Genomic DNA, 20,464 nt, shown 5'->3' on the forward strand with positions numbered 1-20,464 from the left:
GGCCCTCCACTGGCTGTCAGTTTCTCACTCTGCACTGTGTCACTAAGAAGCCACCATGTGCTAGGCCCTGCACGAGGAAATTCCAGCACCATTAATAAATACCCTCAGTTTATGGCGAGAAAGGCCTGGCTCAGCAAGGTGAAGTGATGTGCCCGAGGCTCACCAGAACTGTGCCTGGTTCTGGAAGGCTCCAAGTCCACTGGTCTTTCATCTACACCTGCTGTGCCTCACCTGGGCAGCTTTGATAGCTGGGGAACATTTCTTCAAGGAGCCGCCTCTCACATTCAGGGAAGGTGCCTGTCCTGCTTTGCTGTGAAACACCTCAATGTCATGACTTCCTCTGATATGTTCTTTAATTAATTATTTCTGCAAACCTAAGTTTGATTAATTGGATGCAATCACAGGACTGGTTTGATGAGAGACTCAGTTCCTGCTTGGGGCCTCTCGGGTGGCATGAGAACATGTGGGGCTTCTTACCTGAAGGATGTCGGCAATTAGAGCCCATTTTGACTGCCGGGGTATGAGCCGACTGCCTCAGAGAACATCAATTAGCTCAGTGGCTAAATTGTGCTGAGAGTTATCGGTTACCAAGGGGACCCGTGGTCAATGCCAGGATTTAAGTGGCTCTTGTCTTCGGGGATCATCTTTCCTGAATCGCGGCCACGTTCTGGGCCTGGTAATTATCAGCAGGCTGATTAGGCCTCGTCCATTATAGAGAGTGACTTCCTAATCGCCAGCTGCTGGGGAGGAAAATGTCTCAGCTCCGACGCAGGTACACCCCATCCGACATGCCAGAGGCTGGCACGCACACACTGCAAGGCTGCTTTGGGCTGTGGCCAAAGAGATGGCACAAGGCACACACTGGGCTTAGCTGGGTTTCCCTTGAAGAAGCTCAAGGTCTCAGGGCAGCCCTGGAGATCATGGAACCCAGGCCATTCCTGGCAGGTTAAAGATGATCTCTGAGGGGATGGATGCCTGCCCTGGGAAGAAAAGGGAGCCCCTACTAGTGCCAGGCACAGAGCCAATGATTCTAACAGTCAGTACTTATTGAGCACTTAGTATGTGCCAAGCATTGCTCTCGCCTCGCCACAGAAAACAAGTCATTTGACCCTCTCTAGGGGGAAACTGAGGCACAGGGTGTTTAGGTGACTTGCCCACACATCTGAAATTTAAATCCAGTCAGTCTGCTTCCGAATTGAACAGCTACAGGTGAACAGCATGTTGGCTCTCGTGCTTGATGTATCGCAGCCGTTCTTGAAGTTGTCCCATTATCCTTTCAGGGAATCTTTGCGGTCTTCACTTTCCCAACTACATGTCTGTGTGAGGCCAGGTTTTCTTCATATACTTCAACCAAAAAAACAGACTAAATGCGAAGCAGATAAGGGAAGCCAGAACCTATTAAGTCAGATATTTTTTTAAATATGCAAGAATGTAAAGCAATGCCACTCTTCTCATTAAATTGTCTTTTCATTTTGGAAAATAGCTTATTTTTCATAAAAATATGTTATTTATGTTAATAGATAATTAGATAATGCATTAGATAGTGGATTTATTATTGCTATTTCAAAATTAGTAAATAAGCATTTTTAAAGCTCTCGTTTTAATTCGTAGTATGGGAAATATCAGTAGATATAATCCACAGAATACAAAGTTCCCTGGGGTCCTCAATAATATTTAAGAGCATAAAGAAGTTTTGAGACCAAAAGATTGTGAACCACTGATATATTCAGCATATTATATATCAGCAGTTGATAATTAATGCCCTCCCTCAGGGATGAGTGAGTTATCATTCTGTGAGTCTTGTTTTTGTTTTTTTTGAGACTGAGCTTTTGTTTTTGTCGCCCAGGCTGGAGTGCAATGGCACGATCTCGGCTCACTGCAACCTCAGTTTCCCAGGTTCAAGTGATTCTCCAGCCTCAGCCTCCTGATTAACTGGAATTACAGGCCTGTGCCACCACACCCGGCTAATTTTGTATTTTTAGTAGAAACAGGTTTCACCATGTTGGCCAGGGTCCCACAGACTCCTGATCTCAGATGTTCCACCCGCCTTGGCCTCCCAAATTGTTGGGATTACAGGTATGAGCCACCACAGCCAGCCTGTGAGTTCTTTTGAAAGCTGGTTGTTAAAAAGAGCCTGGCACCTCCCCGCACCCGCTGTCTGAATCTCTCTCTCTCGCTGTCTCTCTGGCCATGTGATTGCTGCACACACAGGCTCCCCTTCACCTTCCACCATGAGAGGAAGCAGCCTGAGGCCTTCACCAGATGCAGATGCCTAGTTTGAATTTTCCAGCCATCAGAATCATGAGCCAAATAAACCTTTTTCCTTTATAAATTACCCAGCCTCAGTTATCGCTTTATAGCAACACTAAATAAGAAGAGCTAATACTTGGCATTTATCTGTGCTAGGCATTGTCCTAAGTATATGATGTATTTTGACTTATTTATTATTTGTTTGTTTTTGTTTTTGAGAAGAGTCTCACTCTGTTGCCCAGGCTGGAGTACAGTGGTGCGATCTTGGCTCATTGCATCCTCCACCTCCCAGGTTCAAGCGATCCTCCTGCCGCACACCACCACGTCTGATTGATCTTTGTATTTTTTGTAGAGACAGGGTTTTGCCATGTTGCCCAGGGTGGTCTTGAACTCCTCACCTGAAGTGATCTGCCCACCTCAACCTCCCAAAGTGCTGGGATTACAGGCGTGAGCCACCACGCCTAGCCTGTTTTGACTTATTTAATCTTCACATCCAGGAAGTAACACTTACAATTATCCCCATGAGGCAACTGAGGCACAGTTTCCTTGGGCTTAAGTCTTGTGCTGGGCTGGGACATGACAGAGCCCCAATGTGAACCCAGGCCTGCAGGCTCCAGAGTCTGGGCCTTTACACACCTCTACACCACATCCTCAGGCAGCATTGCTTACACTTATGGAGAGCACTTGGACCGAGCTAAGGATTTGCCTGTTTTAATTGTATCATCCTAAGTTGCCCATGGTAAGGAAATTTCTGCACAGAGAGATGCATACTTTGTCTGAAGTCACACAGCCAGGAACCAGGTGCGGGGATCCTTAATTCTGAGCTCTGAGCCAGATCCAGATCTGACCAATCACCCCACCTCCCACCTCCTCAACCACAGCCACAGTGATTGGCTCAAGGGTGGGTGAAGCCAAGTCAGAATGAGAGTCAACTCCCGGGCCTTTACTGGAATATTTGGTGAGAGGCCCTCTATTTCCCCTCAGTTACTAAACTGATGAGATTTACCCTTGCTCCGCTAGAGGCTGTCTTACCAGTGCAAAGAAGAAACCCATTCATTGAGAATGAAGACAACCAAGAGAAGACAGTCAAGAGATGGAGAGAGACTGACATCTGCTGATTTTATTTGAGCACCTGGGTCCATCCACGCCTAATACCCTTGGCCTTTTCAGTTACATGAGCCAATAAATCTCATTTTTACTTAAGTCATTTGCGTTTTTTTCAAATATAACAAAACGAGTTCTGACCGATACAATCTATAAACATCAAACTAATTTTAGCATGTTTCTGAGAGAGGAGTGCTTCTTCCTTTCTCTCACCCATACCGCCTGCCGACCACCTCCCTGGCCCCTACCCAGGTGAGAGAGCTATGCTGGGGAGGGCTCCAGTCACTGTCTAGTATAGTTTCCCTGCCACTTATTTCTCCAAAACCATGATAGCTCTTGTCAATAACAAACATTTATTAAGACCCTGCTGTGTGCAGGGCACTATTCTACTCCTGGCTTATTGCTTGGTGCCCTCAGCTGCTGACTGGCTTGGCTTTGGGGATGTCTTCCATTTGCCCTCCAGACCCATTCTCAGCCCTGCCTGTGTCTGGGCGGTGGATCTCTATGGACTGCCCCATGCGGGTTCCCTCTCCTTCAGATTCTGGTATGGTTCAGATCAAACGGAGAGAGGAGAGGAAAGAGGCATGTCCACTCCCCTCCCTGCCTGCTGCAGTTTCACTCCATTCTTCCTCCTACAGCCACAGCTCCTGCGGGCAGCCCTCCCTGACGGCTCCAGCTCTCTCGGGGTTCCGGCAACACCACCCCTCCCTTGCCCCACCCGGCCTCAGGGTGCTCGTTTCTCCCCACTGTGTCTCCGGCTCTTCTCCTGACCCTGTCCATCTCATCACTGAGCTGTCCTCAGATGCCCCCTTTCAGTGGGGGTTTCCTGCCAGGGTCCCAGTGGACACAGCCTTAGTAGAAGACATAAAATAGTAATACAGTGAAGACAGGACACTCTGGCTTATAGAATCATGGGAGGCTTTTTTTGTTTTTTGAGATAAAGTCTCACTCTCTCGCCCAGGCTGGAGTGCAGTGGCACTCCACTGCACGGCATGGCTCACTGCGGCCTTGACCTTCTCAGGCTCAGGTGATCCTCCCACCTCAGTCTCCTGACAGCTGGGACTATAGGTGTGCATCACCACATCCAGCTAATTTTTGCTTTTGTTTTTATAGAGACAGGTTTTTGCCATGTTGCTCAGGCTGGTCTTGAACTTCTGGGCTCAAGCAATCCTCCCGCCTCGGCCTTCTAAAGTGCTAGGATTACAGGCATGAGCCACCATGCCCGGCCCTTATGGGAGACTTTAATAGCCTCCTTATGCCCATTAACACCAAGGGTAAATATTATTATTGTTATTATAACAGTGAGATCTTCTGAGCATTCACTATGTCCTGGGCACTGAACTAAGAACCTTATTTATGTTATCACATTTGATACCCACAATGACTTTCACAGGTAAATATTGCTATTATTCTCATTTTCCCGATTACGATACTGACTTTCAGAGAAGGGAAGCTGCTTGCCTAGGATCATACAGCTAGTGAATTGCTAAGTGCTATAGTTTGGATGTCTGTCCCTCCAAACCTCATGTTGAAATTTGATCTTCAATGTTTGGGTCATGGGGACAGATTCAGCCATGAACAGATTAATGCCTTCCCTCAGGGGTGAGTGAGTTCTCGCTCTGTGAGTTCTTTTGAGAGCTGGTTGTTAAAAAGAGCCCAGCACTCTGTGCTCGCTCGCTCTGTCTTTGTCTCTCTCTCTCTCTCCCTTTAGCTCTCTCTCGCTCTCGCTGTCGTTTTCTCTCTGGCCATGTGATCTCTGCACACACAGGCTCCCCTTCACCTTCCACCATGAGAGGGAGCAGCCTGAGGCTCTTACCAGATGCAGATGCCCAGTTTGAACTTTCTAGACATCAGAATCATGAGCCAAATAAACCATTTTCCTTTCTAAATTACCCAACCTCAGATACTGCTTTATAGCAACACTAAATGGACTAAGACACTAAGCCAAGATGGAAACCTAATTCTGTATGACCCCAAAAGCCAGGGTCATACAGGGAGGGGAGTGGAAATGCCCCGACTTTCCTCTCCTCTCTGATCTTCTAAACCACACCAGAATCTGAAGGAGAGGGAACCTGCATGGGGCAGTCCATAGAGATCTGCCGCCTGGACACATACAGGGCCAAAAATGGGTCTGGAGGGCAAATGGAGGACATCCCCAAAGCCAGGCCAGTCAGCAGCTGGAGTCTCTTAACTACCACCCTGTAGATTGTGTGGCAGAGTCCAGAATCAAATTTCGACTTGAGATTTCAATTCTGTCTCTGCCTTGCCCTTCTGACAACCTCCTCTGCTATCACTTGGCATTGCTGAGGTAGTATCCCTCCTACATAGCACCAGCTCCTGCACCTGGGTGAGCCTCTCCAACCCAAACACAGGATGACCTCTGGGAGAGAGAGGTCTCCTTCTCATGCCCCATTGTTCCTCTCAGGGCCCCAGCTGTTAACCAAGACCCAGGCAGAGGACCTGACTCGCCTTCTCACTGAGGCTCATCCTGAGAGACTGATGGTTTAATATTAACCCCAATAATAGGAATAGCTTACATTTATCAATTACCTGCAATGCCCTGTGCCCACACTAAGCACATCATATGCACTGTCTCATTTTATTCTCACATACAGCTTTGCAATGTAGGTACTACAGCTATCCCACTTGACAGATGAGGAAACTGAGGCTCAGAGACATTAAGTGGGTCAGGCAAAAACTCAAGATTCCAGTCATTTTGACTCCATGTGCTTAACTTTTAAGACATGCTACAACTGTGTCGACAGTTTCCTAATGAGTTACAGCCAAGGGAGCAGTTTCTAGAGGTACAGTCAGTAAGACTAGGCTGTTTCTCTTTGTGTGGCTCATGAAGTCTCCTGGTGGGTTCAAGGTCTTCTATATAAAGGACTCTGTGTGTGGGGAGGGTCAGATACTGGGGTTAATATCAGTGTTAATAACTCTCAAGCTCACTTTGAAAAACAGTCTGGATGCTTCTCTCTTCTCCGGAGCAAGCAGTTGTGCATCTCTGAAGAAGTGAATGTTGATGGGTCTAAAACAATCACAGAAATTCAATTTTTTTTTCTGGTATTCTGTTTAGGGGTGTTTGTGTCATTCAGTGATATATGATGGGATGTCAATGGGGGCTTTGGGAATAGGTTTCCTTGCTGATAAAACAGAGGCACCATGGCCAAAAAAAAATAAGTCCCCTTCTTCTGCTTATGTCATCATGGTTTTAAGTGATGACTGGCACTTTGGCAGCTATTTTGTGACCATGAGGGCACAAGCCTGAGATGGAAGTCAACTGACAGGGAATGGCAGAGCAGAAAGATGGATACATATGAGTTCTTGACAATGTCACTGAGTCATACCACAAAGACTTCACCAACTCTGAGGCCGCCCCACTGTCTGGACATGCTGTTACACAGGATAATAAAATCGGCTAATTGTTTATACAACTGCTGGTTGGGGTTTCTGTTACTTGTGGCCAGAACAGCCTGATTGGCCGGGCACGGTGGCTTACACCTGTAATCCCAGCACTTTGGGAGGCTGAGGTGGGCAGATCACCTGAGGTCAGGAGTTCGAGACCAAGCTGGCCAACATGGTGAAAGCCCGTCTCTACTAAAAATACAAAAATTAGCCAGGTGTGGTGGCACACGTCTGTAGTCCCAGCTACTCAGGTGGCTGAGGCAGGAGAATTGATTGACCCTGGGACGTGGAGGCTGCACTCCAGCCTGGGTGACAGAGCAAGACTCCGTCTCAAAAAAAGAAAAAAAAAAAAAATCAGCCTGATTGCTACAGAATCTGACATTTTCAGCCTCGTCATTTGCTACTTTCCAGTTCTCATGCTCCCCACCATCTACTGTCACTCTCCTTAGCTTCTCACTGTCCCCAAACATATCATGCCCTCTCCTGCTCCCACATCTTTGCCCCCACCATTCTGCCTGCCAGGAATGCCCTTGCCCACCTATCCCTTAATAGCCAGCGACTCAATGACATTACTGTATCTGGGAAGTCCTTCCTGACACCCGTGGCTGGGATGGATGACCCTCCTCTGTGGTTCCAGCTCCTCCTTCACAGCACTGACCACCAAGGGACCTGTCTGTCCCCCACTGACCTGTGAGATCTTTCAGGAGGAAAAGAGGGAATTATGTCCCTGGCACTCAGGAAGGATGCTGCTCACGGCTTTCATGGGTTTATCATGTCCTGAAACAGTCTCCAAAGTTATGCCTGTCTATATGAATATGTGTGGCAGAGTGAGTTTGTTAAAAGTACAGGCTTTGGAGTTAAACAGACCTAGGTGTGAGTTCAACTAGCTAAGTCTGACTACTACACTAACGAGCTACAGCACCTCTAGGTGCTAACAACCTTTCTGTGTCTCAATCCACCTACCTGCAAAGTAGAGATGGTAAACCTGACTTACCAGGGCGTGATGAAGATTAGATAAGATATGTTAACTACTTAACTTTGTGCCTGGCACGTAGCAAATTATTCATACATGCCAGCTCTTGGGATTATTACTTTATTGGTTTGCATTTAATTTTTGTTGGGGGAAGAGTTTTGAGCTTTTGCCAAATTCTCCAATGGGTCTATGATCCAGGAAGGTCAAGAACCACTGGTTTGGAGAGTAAAAGGAGCCCCCAGTGGGTCTGCTGGCTGTGATGAGTACACTGCCATGAGTGCTCACATAGCGGCTTTGTGGCGTCCACTGGGGGGTACCGCGTAAGTGTTCCTCTGTGGGTCAGGGTGTGATCTTGCCCGTGATGAATTCCCCCTCCCAAGCCCCTGGGTCCCTGTGACCTCCAGGGCTCTCCAAATACCTCATTAGCACTGGCTGAGAGCACAGCTAGGAAGTGGGGCTGCTGTTGCCTCTGCAGAGAACATCCCTCATTACAGCAGAGAGAAGCAGCAGCTCTGACAGGGGCTGGGCAGGGGCAGGGCCCCTTTGTGTCTAGGCCTGATGACTCAGGGAACATTGCACTTCTGAGGACATCATTGTCAGCACAAAGCTGCGGCTCTGATGACAGAGCCCAGGCTCCTCTGGACTGGCACTGTCCTGCCTCCCCCAGCCCCCTTGATTGCTCAGCCCCCTTTCCTATGACTGCACCAGCGTTAAAGCTGCATCCGTAATAAACTGTCCTTTTACTCACTGGTCCTCCCAGTGGCCAAGAGAGGGTAGACTGTGATCCCTGTCAGAACCCTGAGGCCCCAATAGACTGGGCAGAGCCAGGTTTGGGATTCAGGTCCCCCTGCTCCAAGCTCTTGCGGAGTGGCGGGCAGAAGTGCACACTTAGTATCAGGCAAACCAGGGTGGGTCCTGGCCGTGCCACTCTCAAGCCATGGTGTTGGGCCAGCCGTTTCTATTTTCTGAGCTCCAGTTTCTTCATCTGTAGGAAGCAGATAAATAGTCACAACTGAACCCCCTCCTCCCCTGCCTTGCAGAGAAATCGTTCTAAAAGTCAAACCTGATTATGTCGCCCTCCTGCTCACAGCCCTCAGCAACACTCCCTGGCCCTCAGGATGAAGGTCAAGTTTCTCGGCCTGCCATTCAAGGCACTTTGTAATCTGGATGCTGCCCATTGCCCTGGCCACAGCCCCTACCGCACATTCCAACCAGTCACAAATCAAACCGCTTCTCTCCTCAGCCCACTCAATTCTGTTTCCTTTACCAGGAATTCTTTCTGCCTGTCTTTTAAAATCACCAGGAGAATCCCTGCTTCAAGCTCAATGCAGGTACTTCCTCCTCCAGGAAGCCTTCCGTGACCTCCTACTCCCTCTTTCCACATTGCCTCAGGTGCCTCCTCCTGGCTTCCACCTCCCAGAGCTGAGTGGACTTTGTGCTAGAATCCTGGCATTAGAAAGAGCCTTAAAAGTTCATTGAAAGCAGTGCATCTCCAAGTGTGGCCCAGCAACATCTGCAAACTTGTGAGAAACGTACATTCTTGGGTCCCACCCCCAGAACTACTGAATCAGAAACTCTGGGAGTGGGACACAGCAATCTGTGTTGTAACAAAGCCCTCCAGGGAATTCTGATGCCCAAATTTCAGAACCACTGGTCTAATGCGGTCTTTTGCAACCATGCTGGAGTTCTGCATTTGTGGTGCCCCCAAGAAATCGACTACCACATGGTCTGGGCTCCTGCATCTGCTACAGGAGAAAGAGGCCCCAGCTGGGCTATTGGTGCCCCTGTGTGCCCAGCCACCCTCCTTCCAGGGGCCTCTAGCTAACAGAGTTGTTACAGAGGAGAGTTCTCTCCATCACATCCCATTCTCCCCCTTCCTACAGACACATGGCCAATTTTAAATCGTAACTTTCTTTTATTGGCAAAGAAGAAATTTTGGCACCTGTTTCATATATTTCTCATCAGCTTCTCTTCATCCCAATCTTGCCAGGCTGGGGCCTGCTGTGCTTAAGAATCGAAATACTGGTCATCTGCCTTTTAAGGAAAATGCTGTAAATTTCATGGGGCTCATCTCAGACGCACCAAATGTTACCTGGAAAAATACATCTTTTCTCCTCTTCTCCTGCTCAGCAACCTGCCAGTGTGGTTCAGAGGGTTGTAGTTGTAAAGGTCTCAGTAGTTCAAATGGTTTCTGAACCAAGTTCTCTTTCCATTAGAAGAGTCCAGGTTCCCTCAATTCCCCTTTTGCCACTTTAGGAATTGCTAACCTGTCATACTTGGAAGTTCTTCTTGGTGTCTAATATAACTCTTTCTTGCTATTGCTGGCTCCAAACCAGCCTGTCACATATAGAGGAAAAGTATTTTTATCTCTGTTTTTCGGATCTGGAAACTAGCAAAGGACATGGCACACAGTAGGCACTCGATGTTAGTTTAGAAAATAAGTGAATGAATGAATGGGGAGATTAATAATAACAAGTGCTGCTGATGAAAATGAACATTTAGGCTGAGGTGAGGGAATGGTTTGAGCCCAGGAGGTCAAGGCTGCAGTGAGCTATGATCACGCCACTGCACTCCAGCCTGGGTGATAGAGCAAGACCCTGTATCTAAAAACTTTTTAAAAAAGTGAACATTTACTCTGAGGATTATGTTAAGTGTCTCAGATATGTTCAAACACCCAACAACCTTATGAGGTAGATACTATTTTATCCCTGTTTTACATAGGGGAAAACTGAAGCTCAGAGACATTAAGCAATTTGCCTAAGGACACACAGCAGTGTCATGACATAACTAGTAATTGAACCCAGCTGAACTAATTATATAATTGAAAGATCACTTCCTAGATTATCCCTTGAGTGTTAATTATCTGAGGGGCACAGCTGTCGTAGGAAGCCTCTATCTAGCTCCTGGAGGTTCAGTGTGAGTGAGGGCCAGGCAGAGACAAATGAGCCCCACACTTTTCCTTTGATGAAAAGCTCCTGAAGACAGCTGGAGAGGAGGAGGAGGAGGCGGACAGAAGCTGGGCACACCAGAGGAGACAGAGATGTGGCGTCAAAGGCAACAAGTGCTGACAGGTCTGTGAGTAAGAGGCCCCTTCTCTGTCACTGGGCTGGGGTTTCTATTAGAGCAAAGCTTCAAAACCAATGACAAGCCAGCAAAAGACAGTGCTAGCCTGCTCCTGCTGCCAAAACACGCATTTTCTTAACACCCCTCTTTCCTTCTTTTTTTAACCCTTAAGCTTATCATCATTTTTAATATTTTAAATTTACTCAGGTAATAAATACATTATCACCTTAAAACATATATAATATACAGATATGTAGAGCCAAAATTAGAGCTTCCTTGTATAACTCCCCACCTCCCAGCTCGAAGATGTTGCCACAGTTCACAGTTGAAGTTGGTTAGCCTGCTTTCTCTAGAAATGGGGCTCAGGGCAAGGATGAATGTGTGGCTGCTTCCTTTGGGTGGTGCAAGCCCAGATATGAGCCCAGGATGATCACAGGCCGAGAAAGGGAGCAGGGAAGCCATGGGAAGGGTGGTACCATGAGGCCATCACTCCACAATCACCCTCGTGGCTGCTCTGGAGGTACACCCACCTTACACAGAACACCTCCAGGAGGACTGCAAGGAGAAATCCAGTCTCAGATAGTCCAGAGAAAGATGGAAGGAGAGGGGGTTTATCTACCTGGATCCCTCCTGTCTCCTGGGTCTCATTAGTCAACCTTGGTTCTGTGGCCAATGAACGATAAATTCTTTTGTACTTCTGGCATCATTTGGTCATTTTGGGGGCTCTGAGGTCTTTCCATCCCACACCCTGTGGGGTGTGTTTCAAATACGGATGTAAGTCTTATTATTACTCAAGTACAGTGAGACCAACAGCTCAGGAGACGACTGCCACAGAAAAGAGTTTGTTACTCACAGGTCCCAAGAGGAGGGGGCATGCCATGCCAGGAAGAGCCACAAGGAGAGGCATGAGGGTCAATCAGGAGGCAGAGGGTGTGAGGGGCAAATGGGGCAAGATCCTTTACTTTAGTTTCCAGGTGAGGCAGGGTAAACAGGCTTAGGATTGGCTAGATTGAATAATTTCAGCAGGCTTTGGGGCATAGCGGCTGACCCTAGATGCTTGGTACCTGGCCCTGGAGTGATTAGGGCAGGAGAATAGTGGCCTGGAGTGAAAGAGCCCAGAGATAAAGGGGGTGGTGCGGGTGGGGGCTGTGCATTGATTAGTTTGCATGTTAAATGCACACTTACAGGCCAGTCCTTTACTATCTCTTGGCCATCCCTGGGAGGAGCAATCCCTCCAGGGTTACCAAGACCCCAGATGTCAAAGCATCAGAAACATAGAAGATAGAAAGGTATCATTAATACAGGGAAGAACCAGAAACTCTGGGCATGAGCTGGTGGATCTAGCTGCACTGTGGTGGCCAAGGGGGAGGGTCCTGCACACCCAGCAGGGACAATGTCCTCTGCCTATTGCGACTTCTTTGACCCAGCTCCTCCTACTCTCCCCTCATTCACACCATCCTCCTTAGCCTCCTTGCTGTTTCTGGAACATGCCAGGCAACAGGGACCAGGGCTGTAACTTTCCAGATCATTTTCTCTACATTTGTACACAGCCACATGCACATATATTTGCACACTATTGTCTCAAGACTTTTCTGATACCACCGCACATCTTAGAGCTGTCCTCATGTCAGTCGTTAGATATTTCCCTTGTTCTTTTTAATCACTATAATGGTTGACGCATGGGTGCATCAAAAGTCACTTATGCACACCCCTATGGATGGATATTTAGGTTATTTTCAGCACTTCCTGATTATAAACAACGCCATCATAAGCAGTCTTGCTCCTGTCTTTGTATAGACATGCGAGTTTCTGTGGGATAGAACACCTACAAGCAAAATTGCTAGGACAATGGGCATGGGTAGTTAACATTTTCACAAATACTGCCAACTGCTCCATAGAAAGCCGCTCCCAATTTATACACCCACCCATAGTGAGTGAGGTTTCAGAGAACTCATTGCTCCACACCATTTCCAACAACAGCTATTTTCAGTGATTAATCTTTTTGAAATCAATCTATTTTTTCTTTTTCTTTTTCTTTTTAGAGGTGGAGTCTCACTCTGTCACCCAGGCTGGAGTGCAGTGGTGAGATCTCAGCTCACCGTAGCCTCCACCTCCTGGGTTCAAGCGATTCTCCTGCCTCAGCCTCCCGAGTAGCTGGGATTACAGGTGCACCCACCACGCCCGGCTAATTTTTTTTTTTTTGAGACGGAGTTTTGCTCTTGTTGCCCAGGCTGGAGTGTGATGGCGTGATCTTGGCTCACTGCAACCTCCACCTTTTGGGTTCTAATGATTCTCCTGCCTCAGCCTCTTGAGCAGCTGGGATTACAGGCATGCGCCACCATGCCCAGCTAATTTTGTATTTTTAGTAGAGACGAGGTTTCTCCATGTTGGTCAGGCTGGTCTTGAACTCCTGACCTCAGGTGATCCACCCACCTCGGCCTCCCAAAGTGCTGGGATTACAGGCATGAGCCACTGCACCTGGCCTTAATTTTTGTATTTTTAGTAAAGACAGGGTTTCACCATTGTTGGCCAGGCTGGTCACAAACTCCTGACCTCAAGTGATATAGCTTGCCTCAGCCTCCCAAAGTGCTGGGATTACAGGTGTGAGCCACCACGCCTGGCTGAAATGAAATCAACTTCCTTCCTTCCTTCTTCTTTCCTTCCTTCCCTCCCTCCTTTCTCCCTTTCTTTCTTTTCTTTTTCTTTCTTTCTTTCTTTTTCTTCCTTTCTTTCTTTCCTTCTCTTTCCTTTCTTTTTCTTTCTTTCTGACTTTCCTTCCTTCCTTCTTTCTCTTTCTTTCTGACTTTCCTTCCTTCTTTCTCTCTTTTTCTCTCTCTCTTTCTCTCTTTTTCTTTCTCCTTCCTTCTTTTCTTTCTTTCTTTTCCTTCTCTTGCTCTGTTGCCCAGGCTGGAGTGGCTGGCACGATCTTGGCTCAAGCCAATCTCAGGTTCAAGCCATTCTCCTGCCTCAGCCTCCCAAGTAGCTGGGACTACAGGCACGCACCACTATGCCTAACTATGAAATCAGCCTATTTCTGGTAGCCACTCTATTTGATTCCAAAAATGGCTTGAAGCAGTTTTTACTCAAAAAAAATACCTGAAGTTCCTCTTTTGCAAGGATCTGCCAACATAGGCCATGTCTGCCCTCAAACCATGAAGAAGGCATCCTGGTCATCACCAAGAAGTACTACATTCACCTGGGCAGCAACTTCCACACACACACACAAGCATGAGTGCAAGGAGATCACCATCATTCCTGGCAGGAAGCTCTGCAGCCAGACAGCAGGCTATGCTATGTACCCGATGAAGCAGATTCAAGAGGCCCAGGGAGAGCCAGCTCCATGAGTTTGCTGGAGGAGGGAGAAAGAAGAGAGAATTCTGTTTGTGAGGTCTCAGCCTGGGTGGAGAGATCACTGAAGCAGATCCTGACACTAAGGACATGCTGAAGCTTCTGGGCTTCAGCAGTCTATCCAACCTGCAGGTCACTCAGCCTGCAGTTGGGATGAATTTCAAAACGCCTCATGGAGCTGTTTGAATATTTCTATTCTGGCATAATTAAAATTTCCAATAAACCTGGGACAACAGGAAAAAAAAAAAAAGGAAGCAGTCTAGAATTGAGATTAAATCGTTTGGACTCTACAATCAGACTACTTGGGCTCAAATTACCTTCCTATGAAAGTGTATCTCATTTATCTCCATTTTATAGATGAGAAAACTGAGGCCCCTGGAGTTGTATTAATTTTCCAAGACCGCATTGCTCATAAAGGGTACAGCAGGGACCCAAGCTCAACACTCTCACCCTCAAACATTTCCACAAGTGTAGACCAATGGCTCTCAACTGGGGTGGTTTTGCTCACGTACCACTCCCTTGCCCCACAGCATTTGAAAGCATCTGGAGACATCTGGGGTAGCCATAGCTGGGAGGGTAGAATGGCACCTAGAGGATGGAGACCAGAGATGCTGCTAACCATCCTACAATACACAGGACGCCCCCCGCTCACCACCACCACGAATGGTCTGACCCCAAGTGTTGTGACTGTGCCAAAGCTGAGAAACCCAAGTTTCTCCTCAGCAAGAAGGGAAAATACCTGCAACGTGGATGCACCTCTACAGGAGCCCCAGGCTGACAATAACCTTCCTGATCTGGTTTCAACCCTGGATGCTTTTACCTGGTGCGTCCATCAGGGATTTCAGGGACTCCAAAGAGTTATTACCCTTGAATGCTCGGTTCCGCCTGACAACCCAGAAATCTCTGCCAAGGTGCCTGGTCTTGAGGAAGGCTCAGCAAGTGGTTGAGGTTGATAACCAAATACCTAGGAGAGACTTTTCTCTCCCTCCAGGAGGAGCTGTGGGTCAGACACACCCTGGGATCATTCACAAGCGGTCAATAAAGGTTTGGGGAGGGCCAGGTTTTCTAGGCCTTCTCAATGGGGTGGGTGTTTGTGGATACACAAGAAGCCTGTGAAACTTCTGATATTGGCAGGAAATCAATGCCCCCCACCCTCCACCCTCCACCCCCCCAACCTCCCCACCATAAACACATGCCCTGCAGCAGGACTTGGCACTCAGGGGCTCCTGGGGGCCCGATTTACCTGCTAAAACATCCTCTAGCCACCACCGAATAAAGCCACCCCTTGCCACCCAACCACAAGAGCACAGCCTGGGAGCCACTCCAAGGGACATCCAGTCACATTAAAACCTCAGCCATCCAGAGCACCAGGCCTGGTGATGAGAAAGAACATTTTATCCTTAAAAGCATCTGAATGCCCATGCTGCTTCTTGCAGAGAAAAGTCCAAAATAATCTGCTATTAAAGAACGAGGATGGTTTTGACATTTTTACCAAGCTAATGGTCTACGCAGACAAAATCTCATAAAAGGGCACTCTGTTCTTCTTGATCCACTCAGACATGGCCTGTGAGTGAAGAAACGGGCTCTCCTCCTCAAAGAAATCACTGCTGGTCCTCACACCAGCCTGACACTGCTTCTTGGGTTCTTCAAAGAGAGTATTCCCATAGAAACTAAAAGGGAAGAGGAATGGGTGTGGCGGGCATTGTGGGCAGCAGTGGGCTTTGGGACAAATTTTAAGTTTGAAAATCAAGATTCCCTCTTTTCGAGGGGCTGCCAGACTGAGCAGATACAGACACCGTGAAAAGAGGGTGCCACATTCAGATTCAGGAAACAAGGATGGTTTCTGTTCAGTTCCTGCATCATCCTTCAGGTCATGCGATTCCCATTTCCCTCGGTGGACCAAGAAATTCAGTGGGGTTTCTGCCTTTTAAATATTTCATTATCAATATGTCATCCTTTTAGCCTCCAGAAAGCATTTTAACATGGAGATTCTGGCTTAAAACACTTGTGGGTCTGTCTCTCTCTCTCTCTTTTCCTTGAAACAGGGTCTCACTTTGTCACCTACACTGGAGTGCAGTGGCATGATCCCAGCTCACTGCAGCCCGACCTTCTAGGCTCTAGCAATCCTCCCACCTCAGCCTCCAAAGTACTTGGGACTACAGGCACACACCACCATACCTGGCTTTCTTTTTTTTTTGGTAGATATGAGGCTTCACCACGTTGCCCAGGCTGGTCTTAAACTCCTGGGCTCAAGCGATCCTCCCCCTTCGGCCTCTCAAAGTGCTGGGATTATTGGCTTGAGCCACCACGCCCGGCCAAGAACCTTGTCTCTTGTGATGCACCCCAGAACAAAACATCACTGCAAAAACACACCAAGGCATGAGTTTCAGTCCTAAGTCCCATTTATCCACCATACACTATGTGCCAGGCACAACGCTAAGTGCTTCTATGGACAAGCTTCCCTTAATCTTAGCAGTAACAATCCCAGGCAATGGGGCCTGTTGACCGATCCATTTGCCACTGAAGACAGTAAGGCTGAGAGAGGGTAAGTGGCTTGTGCCATGTCAGCCAGCTAAGGAGGGGCAGAACCAGGATGCAAACCCCAGCCGCCTGGCTCCAGACTCGCGTTCCCAAGGTCCCACTACACTTGGTCACTCCACTGCATTCTGGTATCCTGGTCTTTGGCAGAGTCCACGTAAAAGAGGGAGGTAGAGGGAGTGAGAGGGACTTCACGCAATAAAGTGTCCCGGCGTTACACTGCCACCGTAATTGTGTCCCGACCAGGACCTCTCCCTTCTCATCCTTTCCGTGATCGGCCCTGGAAAACCTTCCAGAGAACTGTCCTCCTTCTCCCGGGATCTCAGAGAAAATTCACCTGAGTTCAGTGTCCAGGTGACCCAAGCTCTGAATGCAGTAAAGTGCAGGGGGAGATGAGGATGTCACCATGAGCAAGTCTCCCAGACAGCATTCGGGAGCAACCCCAAGACTGGGCAGGGGGGGCTCTGATGCAGCCCATGGCGAAGAGGGCTGCCTGTGCTGCTTAAATGGGTTCAGAATGAAGGCCGCCCTCTCTCCCATGTGGGGCTCATTCACCACGAATCAAATGATTAAGACAAGCTCAGCTGAGCAAATGGTCAAACATAAAAACATATGGAAGGAACAAAGAGGTCAACCGCATTATCCATCAAAAACCGTCAAGGTGGCGGCCCTCACTGAGGGGTACAGCTCTCCAGCGGGCCCTCATCTGCCCTCCAAACCCACGTGCCTCCCCAGTGGAAGGCCAGCAAAGCCACACAGGAAGAGTTGGGGTAGGAAAGCAGAAAGTGAACCCCAGGAGGCCAGGCTGGCCACGGAACCCCATCGCACACACACAGGCCCGGTGACTCAGGGGCCCACGTGTGCAGGACACCGGGAGCTCACAGGGACAGCGCCCCGGGGGATGCAAGGAACTTTCCCTCTCTGTCCCTCTCTGTAGGAATGGAAAGAGGAGAGCGATTTCTGGGATGGAAGCCATCTGCCTCCTCTCAACTCCCGCTGCCCAACCAGAAAGGGAAGAAAAACAGGAAGATGCGGGGCAGGTGAGGAGCTGGGTGAGCGCCGCCAGCCCGCAGCCCAGCAGAGCAGGGCTTGGCCAAGCCTGGCGCCAGGGACTTCCCCCCTACCCCCGCCACAAGCCCCTCGCCAGGTGAGAGGCACTGGCAGAGTCCCAGACAGATGCCCCAGACAGGATGCCCAGCGCAACCCCCGCCCCTTCCCCTGCTGGGGGCCCCCAGGACGCGGGGCTCCCCCTCCCCTTTTGGCTAGCCGCAGAGTCCAGCGGGTCTCCCGGCCAGGGACGTCGTGGGAGAATCAGGAAGTCGAAGCCACACAGCCGAGAAGGGGCAGCTGGCGTCTCGGAGGCCGTCACGAGCTGTCACTCCGCGCCCGCCGGAGTTGCCGCTCAGTTACCAACTTCAACCCGGGGCCGGCCACGGAGCCTCCCGCCGCCCCTACCCCGCGTCCCCGGCACCCCCGGACCCCCGCGTCCGCGTCACTTACTCCTCTGCCGTCGCCACCTGTCTGGGTGCCGGTCTCCTCCCTGCCCGGCCGCGGCGCGTCCTCCCCGTCCTCGCAGTCCTAGGGCTGTGCTCTTCCCCCCTCCAGCAACAGCCGCAGCCTCTTCTCCCCGGGAGGGACGTCGTCCTCCTCCCTCCTGGGCCGGCCATCCCTGCCTCGGGGCTTGCCAGTGGCTTCGGAGCTGCCGGAAGGGCTGGCCATGGCTCCGGGGGCTCTGCCTGCACTTGGGGAAGAGGAAGGACCCGGCGAGAGCGGCCTCTCGGCGGAGCTGGGGCGTCTGAGCGCGGGCTCGGTGGGTCCGCGCGGCGCGGAGCTGGGCATCGGGGCCGGCGCGGGCTCCTCCGCGGGCCGCTCCCGGCTCTCTGGCGCCCTCTGCTGGCCGCTCACGCGCACCGCGGACACGCCGGGCCGGGGCCTGCGCCGCCCTCACCTGCCCTGGCCTAGGCGGTCGCTGTCCCCTGCCCGTAGCCAGGCCCGCTCCGGCCAGGCCCTCCACCTCCACCCCGCCCCAGCCAGGTTGCACCCCGATGGTCTCCCTGCCCAAGGAGGAGAGAAGAGAAGGGACGCCCCGAGAGGGTGGACATCGGCCACAGCCACCTTGTCTTTGCTCTTACCCTGTGTCTTCCATGATTTGGAGGTGGTGGGAAAACCGAGGCTGCTCAAAACTCGTGGAGAATTCCGCCTGCAGGATGACATGAATGCACCTTCGCATTGCCTACCAACAGATCTTTTTTGAGCATCTCTGTGGACCGGGCGTGGTGATGGGGGAGGGGATATTGTGGTGGACATGACAGGCATTGCCTTCACCCAGTGGGGCTCGGCGCTGGGTGAGGAGGCATTGAGAACGGACATTGTCAATTGGGCAAAAGGAGGCCAAGGAGAAGTGCTGGGTGCATGGGAACTGAAAAAGACAGGAGGCTCAGCAGGTCTTGGAGCTGGGAGAGGGACAGCAGCAGCGGCTGTTCCAAAGGAAGCAACAGCTGAGAGACTTCTCAGAGAGTTGTTCTCAGCCCAGTGGAGCATGTTCGGGCAGAGGGAACAGCGTGTGCAAAAGCCCAGAGGCTGGGAAAGAAGCAGAAGGAGGACTGTGGGGCTGGAGCGTGGTGGGCGAGGGGAGAGAGGTGTGGTGGGCAGACAGATTGCCTGGGACCCAGCCGTGCAGGGACAGAGGAGATAGGGGATCCTTGCAGGCCCCCAGCCAGGGCTCAGGCACAGAGACAATGCAGGTGGGCAAAGAGAGGAGAGGTGGAGAAATATTTTGGAGGCATGCCCTGATGAATGAGCCCAGGATGCACCCTTAGTGTCAGTGTGGAGCTTCTTCTTTGGTTGTGTGATCAGCTGAACCCGGGGGTATTTTCTGGACACTGAGGTGCTACACCAAGAGTCCAGGACAGGCTAAGTGAGCACCAGCAGCTCCTGGCCTACCTCAAAAGCAGGAGAGACAGGGGAGACTGGGGAGCCCGGGGGAGAAGGGGAAGCGAGGAAGGCAGGAGAGGCCAGGGAAGCAGAGGAGGCCCGGGAGGCAGTGGAGGCAGGAGAGGCTGGGGAGGCTGTGTCCTTCCCATGATTCTGCCCAGGATCCTAGGCCCCTGTACTCCCTGAGCTTCCCCACCCCAAGCGCTGGAACCATGTTGCACAATGGTCTCTCCATTAAGCTCCTGATGGCAGCCCCTACCCTGCTGTGCTCCCTATTTCAACCCTAACAGCTCTCACAGTGGGCAGCACATAGAAGGTGCTCAGGAAACACTGGTGGGGGAGCACATGGGTCTGCTCAGCACCTTCCTCTCTCCTCCAGCTCTCCCCTGTCATGAAATAATTCTGATAACCACACATGGGCTTTGAGACCCTCTTCTATTACTTTCCATATGCTAATCCATCTATACCTCACAGCAGCCCTGGGGGTGGGTGCTATTAGGATGCCCATTTTACAGAGGAGGAGACTGAGGTATAAAGAGGGGAAGTGACATAGGCACACTACAGGGGCTGGGGCCAAGTGATCAGAGCACTCAATCCCCAAAGGCAAGGTGGACGCAGTTACCATAAAAGACAGCAGAGTCAAAGCTGCAACCAGAATAGCCTGACTCTCAGAGACCTATGGTGCCAGCTGATCGTGGCATTCCTAGAAGTGAAATAGAAAAGAAGCCTGCCACACTTTTACTGGATCTGTGTTTGCAGAAGAGTTCTAGGTCAGGTGAGTAGAAGTCTAATCTGAATCATAAAAACAGTCACAGTCCCCAGTCAATTCCCAGACATAAGCCAGTTCAC

The 20,464-nt window shown here is 50.1% G+C and overlaps 2 pseudogenes, besides 2 other annotated features; one reads left to right on the top strand and one right to left on the bottom strand.

Moving 5' to 3' along the window:
* LOC124906284 (collagen alpha-1(III) chain-like) overlaps window positions 1-18,916 on the bottom strand; it is a 34,271-nt pseudogene extending 15,355 nt beyond the window's left edge.
* Window positions 485-14,329, top strand: RPS17P9 (ribosomal protein S17 pseudogene 9; annotated as a pseudogene).
* Window positions 17,041-17,887: an enhancer, noted in NCBI's record as "H3K27ac-H3K4me1 hESC enhancer chr3:129720491-129721337 (GRCh37/hg19 assembly coordinates)". NCBI's record gives its function as "activates a minimal SCP1, AML or CMV promoter by ChIP-STARR-seq in naive H9 embryonic stem cells {active_cell/tissue: H9 hESC(naive)}" and the evidence as "EXISTENCE:reporter gene assay evidence [ECO:0000049][PMID:30033119]".
* Window positions 18,447-18,666: a silencer, noted in NCBI's record as "silent region_14730". NCBI's record gives its function as "represses an Ori minimal core promoter by ATAC-STARR-seq in GM12878 lymphoblastoid cells {active_cell/tissue: GM12878}" and the evidence as "EXISTENCE:reporter gene assay evidence [ECO:0000049][PMID:35858748]".
* Window positions 18,917-20,464: the final 1,548 nt, after the last annotated feature.

This window comes from Homo sapiens, chromosome 3, assembly GCF_000001405.40.
Source record: "Homo sapiens chromosome 3, GRCh38.p14 Primary Assembly".
Taxonomy (NCBI): domain Eukaryota; kingdom Metazoa; phylum Chordata; class Mammalia; order Primates; family Hominidae; genus Homo; species Homo sapiens.